A 9,081-nucleotide genomic window follows, 5' to 3' on the forward strand; every position below is an offset into this window, starting at 1 on the left:
AATGGGGACTCAGCTGAACCTAAAGCACTCAGGCACGGCCACGTGCTCCATGCTCCTTACTCTAAATAGCACCAAGTACTCCAGGAACTTGGAGCAAAGTGGGCCTGGCCTTGAAGTACTGCCAAGATTTCTAAACACAGCAACAGGAAGGAGGCATTCCAGGCAGAGACAAGAGCATGAACAGAAGAAAGGCAGGGCAATGTGTCTTTGGGGGATGGTGAGTGAATCCAATTCATTTGGAGTCTACTATGTAGGGGAGCATACAGAGAATACTGGGAAATTGGAATTTCTGGAGACTCATTCTATCATGTATGGCTGCATTAGTCCATTCTCACGCTGCTGATAAAGACATACCTGAGACTGGGTAATTTATAAAGAATAAAAGGTTTAATGGAATCATAGTTCCACGTGGCTGGGAAGGTCTCACAATCATGGTGGAAGGCAAAAGGCATGTCTTACATGGCAGCAGGCAAGAGACAGCTTGTGCAGGGGAACTCCTCTTTATAAAACCATCAGATCTCATGAGACTTATTCACCATCATGAGAACAGCATGGGAAAGACCTGCTCCCATGATTCAATTACCTCCCACTAGGTCCCTCCCATGGCATGTGGGAATTGTGGGAACTACAATTCAAGATGAGATTTGGTGGGGACACAGCGAAACTATATCAATGGGCTTTCATTTAACCTTTGCAGACAACAATTACACAGCCCTACCAACTGGGGAGGATAGAAGAAATATGACTCTTGGAAAAGTGCCTTATGTTCTTTAGAACATACTTGATCAATACAGATCTCATGGTGGCACCTTGTCTCTGTTTCCAGGATAGGCCAGTGCATTGCCATCCTTTCATTATATGTCTCTCTTTCTTGCTAGACTGTGGGCTCCTTGCGGGCAGTGACTGTTTCTGACCCAACTTTTAATCCTCAGCACTCAGCACAATGCCCAAAACATACAAGGTGCTCAGCAAGCATTGAATGGATTAATTAAATTAAGGAGTTAACAGATATGAGCACGCACCCTACTTGTCATGGCCACTTGACTTGTGCAAAAAAGTACTGGAAAACAATTGCAGTTCATATGGAGAAACTATATCTAGGGAAAATGTGGTGGTGGTGCAAGCAGCAGGAGAACCAGAAAGTCATTCCATGGTGCAGCAGTAACCAATGGTGCAGGGCTCCTTTCTGATGCCCAGAACTGCTGGACACCCAACCAAGAAGCACACGAGAGCCCAAGTAAATTTCTTGCCAAAGAGTGCATGAAGCACAGCCTATCATTCGAGATTGCCTCTCAATGACTTTGAAGCAAAACACTGGGTTTCTAAATTACCATCACAGCTAAGCAAATTGATCATCTGGAATTTGTAGCTGGCTTGTTAGACTGTATCCAGGGAAGGGGTGGCGGGGGCTGGTAGCAGGTTTGGCTCAGCTGCCTATAATTTTAAGCGCTTAATGGGATGATAATTTGCTGTTCAGTATGTTCATTTTGAAAAGCTTCCCTAATTCAGAGGGGAAAATGAATAAAACCAAGCTTTTTACTCCAAATCTGTGTGGAAACATCAATATCCTTCCATCAAGGAAACAGGTGGTTAAGAAGACATGGAAACATGGAAGAGATTGCTAGTGTCCCACAGGAAAAAAAAAAAATGTGCCTGCTGGGTGGTTGGTTGTATTAACTTACCATGAGAAGCTTCTTATAACAAGAGCTAAAATTCTAGTTCTTCTACACCAGGGGTCTTCAACCCCCAGGCCACAAACCAGTACCAGTCTGTGGCCTGTTAGGAACTAGGCAGCACAGCAGGAGGTGAATGGCAGGAAAGGGGGCAAAACTTCATCTGTATTTACAGCTGCTCCCATCACTTGCTTTATCACCTGAGCTCTACCTCCTGTCAGATCAATGGTTGCATTAAATTCTCATAGGAGCACAAACCCTATTGTGAACTGTGTATATGAGGGATCTAGATTGTGCACTCCTTATGAGAATCTAATGCCTGATAATCTATCACTATCTCTCATCACCCTCAGATGGGACCATCTAGTTGCAGGAAAACAAGCTCAGGGCTTCCACTGATTCTACATTATGATGAGTTGTATAATTATTTCATCATATATTACAATGCAATAATAGAAATAAAGTGCACAATAAATGTAATGCACTTGAATCATCCCCAATCCATCCCCACACCCCCACCCCGTGCCTAGGTCCATGGAAAAATTGTCTTCCATGAAACCAGTCCCTGGTACCAAAATTGTTGGGGACTGCTGTTTTTCACACTAGCCATCCCAGTTCTTCACAGTCCCCAGGAGATTTCATGGACCTGCACAGTGAAGAAGAGACACAAATGAACAGAGGGTGTGTGTGTGTGTGTGTGTGTGTGTGTGTGTGTTACCTCCATGTGCATCAGGTTATTGGGGCTGGCATTTCCTGACAACAGCTTCTGTGAACTGGTGATCTAGAATATTTTCCACTCAAATCAAATGTGAAGAGTTTCTAGTGACATTAATTTAGTTGACTTCTTTCTTAATACATCTCATGCAATCACACATCTTTTCTTTCTTGCGTCTGAAATTAATTCTACATGCCTTGTAAGTTTCTTAAGGTAGATCATGTTTCTATATTGCATATTTTGCATATGAAGCCTAAAAATTACATTGTACACAAAGTCTAAAGATGCCAAAACATGAGTTTTTTTTAAGAGCTAAGGGCAAATTATTCTCAGTAAGAGACCAAAACTTTTTTATTAATTCCCAAACTCATCAAACATTTACAGAGCCCCTATTAGATATGGCAAAGGATAACAATTTTTATTATTATTATAAAAACAATCCCTTTCATTCATTTATTCTTTAATTGTCTGAATATTTATTTATCTCTTCTAGGGTCAGGCACTGCTATTAGCTAAAAATTCCAGATGAATAAGATATAGTGCTGCACTCCAAGAACACACACTCCAGAGATTAACATCCTGAATTATTATTAGCTTACTTCTGCCCAAAGACAGAGGGAGGAGAATGTGATGGAAAGGCGGGACTTCAGCTGTATTTGTAATGTTTTATTCCTTTATAAATCCTAATAAAAAGAATATTAACATTTGGAAAATCTAAATGGCAAGTACATTGGTATATGATATATTATTTTTCTGCTTTTCTTGTATATTAGAAATAGTATATAAACATTGCTCTGAAAACTAGATCATGATGATGATCATGATGATGATAAGAACTGTGTTAAGAATGATGTTAGAAATCTGCAAAGGGCTGGGCATAGTGGCTCACACCTGTAATCCCAGCACTTTGGGAGGCCGAGGCAGGTGGATCATTTGTGCTCAGGAGTTCGAGACCAACCTGGACAACATGGTGAAACCTCATCTCTACCAAAAATACAAAAACATTAGCCAGGCATGGTGGCACACATCTGTGGTCCCAGCTACTCAAGAGGTTGAGGTGGGAGGATGGCTTGAGCCTAGGAGGCAAAGGTTGCAGTGAGCCAAGACTGTGTCCCTGCAGCCCAGCATGAGTGACATAGCAGGACTCTGTCTAAAAACAAAAAAAAAAAGAAAGAAAGAAAGCAAAAAATATGCAGAATATTGTGTGAGTAATAGAAGGTACATAAAATCCAGTCTAGGAAAAAGAGCAGGTCTTGAAGCCTCCTCTAGGAAGCCCAGAGCTGAAATGTTTCCCCAGGAGTGAGTCACAGTCTCTGCTAAAAAAAAAAAAAAAAAAAAAAAAAAAGTTCTACTGAGCAGATGAGCAAGACAGACTCCATGGCAGAGAAGCAGGGCAAGACCCCATCTCATTCTGTTCCTGCTACTATAAAACAAATACTGTAGGGGGCGAGACCAAGATGGCCAACAAGAAGCAGCAGTGATTGGAGGTTCCCATCAAAAAAACCACAATAAGTGTGTAAATCATTCACCAGCAACCAAGTTATCCAGGTTCTGTCATCAAAATTGACTAGAAGGCTGGCATGACCCAGAAGGAAGAACAGTGTGGTGTGGTGGCCCACCTGAGAGCCACGCAGGGAAGGGGAAGCCCCTCCCCACAGCCAAGGGAGGTGACTCCTTAAATGACATCTCAAGGCATGAGAGCAAAACAAATGAATAGGGCCTGAAGTAAAGCCCCAGCAAACTGCAGCATCCCTACAGAAGAGGGACCTGACTATTGAAAGAAAAACAATCAGAAAGTGACAACAACAGCATCAACAACAACAACAAAGCCCCCACAAAAACCCCATCCAAAGGTCAGCAGCCTCAAAGACCGAAACTAGACCAACTCACGAAGATGAGAAAGAATCAATGAAAAAATGCTGAAAACCCAAAAGGCTAGAGTGCCTCTTCTCCTCCAAATGATCACAACGTCTCTCCATCAAGGGTGCAGGACTGGACAGAGGATCAGATGGATGAACTGACAGAGGTAGGCTTCAGAAGATGGGTAATAAAAAAACTACGATGAGCTAAAGGAGCATGTTCTAACCCAATGCAAAGAAGCTACGAACCTTGATAAAAGATCAGAGGAATTGCTAACTACAATAGCCAGTTTAGAGAGGAACATAAATGACCTGATGGAGCTGAAAAACACAGCACAAGAACTTGCATACACAAGTATCAACAGCCAAATCGACCAAGCAGAAGGATATCAGAGTCTGAAGACCACCTTACTGAAATAAGACATGCAGACAAGAATAGAGAAAAAAGAATGAAAAGGAATAAACAAAGCCTCCAAGAAATACAGGACTTCATAAAAAGACCGAACCTACGATTGATTGGAGTAGAAGGCGACGGGAAAAGTGGAAATAAGATGGAAAACACACTTCAGGATATTATCCAGGAGAACTTCCCCAACCTAGCAAGACAGGCCAACATGGAAATTCAGGAAATACAGAGAACACCATTAAGATACTCCACGAGAAAATCAACCCTGTCAGACGATTACAGTACCTTGAATCATCCTTCATCTAGATGTTCTTTGTCCTCATTTCCCAGAGCCAAGAACCATAAGTCAGTAACTTGTCTGTCAAAGATGTAATTTTACACCAAAGAACCCAGAGACTTTGTCTTCACCCACCAGGTGTTGGGTACAACCTCCAGCCTGGGCTGGGCCCTTGCTGGCTACAGTCTCTGGACACTTTAACCTGACCTGCTGAACTATCTGGGGAACCTGTTCTCAGTCTGAGCTACAGCTCCTTCTGCCTTGCTCTATCCTTGTACTGTTGGGTTCTGTTACGATAAGAGGTCTGTTGCCCAATGTCTGCAGCAAGTCAATATGTTGAGACACTGGGACAGCAGAGGAAAAGGTTTACTCACAGGACCACCAAATGAGGATATGGCAGGGAACCTCAAATTCATCTCCCTGAGGAGTTTTGGGCTAGGGTTTGTGAGGGGTCTGGAATGGGCTGAAGCTTGGAGATCATTGATTGGTCAAAGAGTGCATGGTGAAGTCAAGAGAGAGAAAAGAAGAAACTGTATTCTCATGCTGATTCCATTCGTTCCCCTGTGGGGGTCTTCAAATTGATTGACATCAGTTGTCTCCCTGGAATTCAAGAACTGAAAAACATCTTAATCAATTCTTAAACCAAAGTCTTATGATGCTAACATCAGTGATCCTATCTATAGGAACAATGGGGATGCAAACAGTCAGTATCTAGTGACTTTTGGTTACAAGGAAGTGGGTCAAAGTGCAGACTAATTAATGCTTAATGATAATTCTGTGTCTGTCCAGAATTCCTGTTAACCCCATGAGGATGGCTTCCATTCTCAGGCAGCCTCCAGGCTAAGCCATAAAAGAATCTCCAGATTGTCAATAAATGATCAAACACCACTTATTAAAGAGCTATGGTGAGCCAGTTCACCATAGGACAGTTTCTCAGCCTCCCGTTCTGGATCCCACTTGCAAATTAACCACAGCCTCTCCTATGAATGGCAGGGTCTTGGCCTTAACCCAGAAGAGAGAGCAGAGGAGAGCCATATGCAAGCCCACCAAATGACGACAGAGTTCCTGTCCAACCTCACAGCTGCTATGTGGGAGGGAGGCAGGCAAGCCACAAACCAACTGGTCAGAATATAAGCCTTACACCAATGGTTGCTCATGACAGGCCTTGATCCAGATGGTAACCAGGGTAAAGGGCATCCCAGGCAACACAGCCAGGAAGACATACAAGCTAAAAATTACTCCGACTGAGGAGAGGGCATCATACCAAGTAAATTGAGTACATAAACCCTGCCTTCAAAGGCTTTTTCCCCCAGTAGAGAATACATATGGAGCACATATGAAAGATACTAAAGCTATTCAAGGACTTTAACAAAAAAATAGGAATGAACCATACTTCCATGCAGAAATGGAACTATTAATTGCATATTCTGAATAATAAAATGAGCCAAAGCTTATTTTTGAATTTTTTGTTGTTGGTTGACTGTGTTTGGAGGAACCAGAACCATTTTGAACCAGAACTAAACTTGAATATCAAAATGTTCTCAGAAATTAGGCAATATTCTACCAAGTTCAAGTCACAGATGAAAACAAAAAACAAGATAACACAGGGTTGATTAAAGGGTTTTTCTTAGTAAGACAATGAAAACAATTGGAAAGCCCATTAAGATAAAAAATTCACCCTTTACACAAAAAGAAATAATAAAACTAAAAATTAAAATAATAGATTTGAAAAATATTTCTATTGATTCTAACATGGGAAAAGCTCATTCAAATTAATTTGTAAAAATCAGTACCCCAATAGACCATAGCAGGCACAAACAATACACACAAGAAGAAATGTAATTGGGAAATAATACACAAAAAAAGATTACCTTTGTTAATTTTTTAAAAAATGAAAATAAAACTACACTATCATATCATTTTATATTCACTATAATTAATACCCAATCTGGGAACATTCTGGCAGAGTGACTTATTTGCACCTTGTTTTTGGTAATTTATACCAATACAAACCCTTTTGGGAAACAATACAGTGATCTATATCAAGACATAAAAATACTCACATCCCTTGACTCATTCTCTGGAAATGCTGAAGGAAGTTATTCAAAAGAGGAAAGAAGCTATACCCAAAAAGTTATTCATTGTTGGGTTTTTTATAACAAGTATTGGAAATGTTTAACAATGAGGGAGGGTGAACTTAACCACGGTACATCCGCTCTGAAATAATACCACAACTATAAAATAGTGCTGATGAAGAGAAACAATGTAAGAACATGTTTATCATAAAATTTTAAGTGAAAACAATATATATTATACAAAAATTCTATTCACACACTGATTATAATTACGCTGAAGGATGTTGGCAGGTGGGTGAAAACTGAAAAAAAAAAAAACTAAAAACAGTTATGCTTGGTTGGTGGGCCCGTAAGATGTTTATTTCCATTCTGTTTCTGTAAGATTCTCAGAGTGTTGGTACCGCAGATTCAACTGGGGCCAGAGAAGCCCATCACGGGAGCCCGAGGAAAAGCAGCCACAGCTCTCCTTCCTAGTACAAGCATTCAACAGTAAGCTCCCACGCAAAGAATCAGACTGCAGCAAATTTCAGCGCTGCCTCAGGAACACTGTCCTTGGCTCCCACATTGCAAAGATTTTCCATTCCCTCCACAGTCACCTCATTCATGGTTAAGGAAGAAAGCGCAGCTAACAGACAGGGTGACGACAGATGTCCAGGCACTGAGCCATCCATAGCTGTTATTTTTCATTCACATAGGCATGTGCCGGATCCAGCAGATGAAAACCAGACCTACCCCCTTCCCCATGTGTGTGTGTTTTTTCCCCTTACTGCTGCTGCTGTAACAGCTAAGTGCCAATTATCTCCCAAGCGTGAAAGCAAATATTGTGATAGCCCAACAAACTCTACAAATGTTAGAGGACACAGGTGGGGATGACTGTTTTTCTGTCCTGGCCTTGGCATGTCTTTATTCATTGTAACAGCTCTCATTAAAGGAGGATCTGGTAGGTGCAAAGCTTTCTGCTAACACCTTCAGCACTTTGCATTCTTTATTTTCTCATTTATCTCTTGGCATTTTGTTGTTGCCCGTATCCCCACGACCCACGAATCCAGAGGTAAGTTTTGCTTTTCTTTGCCTAGAAAAAGCTCCATTAAACCACCTATTCTCAGGACCCAACTTCACATGGGCTGATATGAATACTTTCTTCAAATATTTGAAGGCCTGATGTATCGTAGTATTGTATTGCAGTAGGTAGTATTGTAGTATTATAGTAGGTGCTTTAATCAGGGTTTTCCAGAGAAACACAGCCAGTAGGAGATGATAGTCATAGAGAGATAGATAGATACATACATACATACAGATTTATTTTTCAGGAATTGAATCACACAATTATAGAGGCCAAAAGTCTAAAGTTTTCAGGGTAGGCCAGTGAGCCGGAGACCCAGGGAAGAGTTAACTTTACAGCTAGAGTCTGAGGACTGTCTTAAGGCAGAGTTCCCTGTTCCTTGAGGGATCTGTCTGTATTTTCCTAAGGCCTTCAACTGTTTGGATGAGGCCCACCCACATTATGAGGGGGTAACCTGCATTACTCAAAATCTACTGATGTAAGTGTTGATCTCTTCTAAAAATACCTTCACAGCAACATCTAGAGTGGTGTTTGACCAAATATCTGGGTACCTGGCCTAGTCAAGTTCATATATAAAATTAACCATCACAAACAGGGCCCCTAGAACAGCAAGAATTAGACCAATGACTAAATATGACAAGGATGCATATTTTGCCATATAATTGGGTTGTTTAAAAAATTGAAATGGCTCACTTCTGAGGCAATGTGCTCTTTGTACCAGGAATATTCAAATTAATGTTGGATGATCACCTATTAGGGATATTGCAAAGAAAATAACTTTATTGCACAGGACATTAGGATCTCTAGTCACCTCTACATGTTATTCTGATTCTAATATCCTATTATTATATAATTGACACAGGTAATTCATGCAAACTACTTTTAATTGCAAGAAATTTAAAATATTAAAAAATTTAATCCTCCCCCCTCTCATTTCATGGATGAAGAAATTGAGATTCGAGGGGGTTTAATGGCTTGTCCTAGGACTAAAATCCAGGTCTCTCAGTCCAGGC

At 41.0% G+C, this 9,081-nt stretch overlaps 1 annotated feature.

The window, feature by feature from the left end:
- Positions 7,655 to 7,824: an enhancer, noted in NCBI's record as "experimental_103076 CRE fragment used in MPRA reporter constructs". NCBI's record gives its function as "activates a minimal promoter by MPRAs in K562 erythroleukemia cells, with activity observed for the non-introgressed 8:29763061 variant allele {active_cell/tissue: K562}" and the evidence as "EXISTENCE:reporter gene assay evidence [ECO:0000049][PMID:34662402]".

The sequence above is a fragment of the Homo sapiens genome, chromosome 8, assembly GCF_000001405.40.
Source record: "Homo sapiens chromosome 8, GRCh38.p14 Primary Assembly".
Classification (NCBI taxonomy): Eukaryota; Metazoa; Chordata; class Mammalia; order Primates; family Hominidae; genus Homo; species Homo sapiens.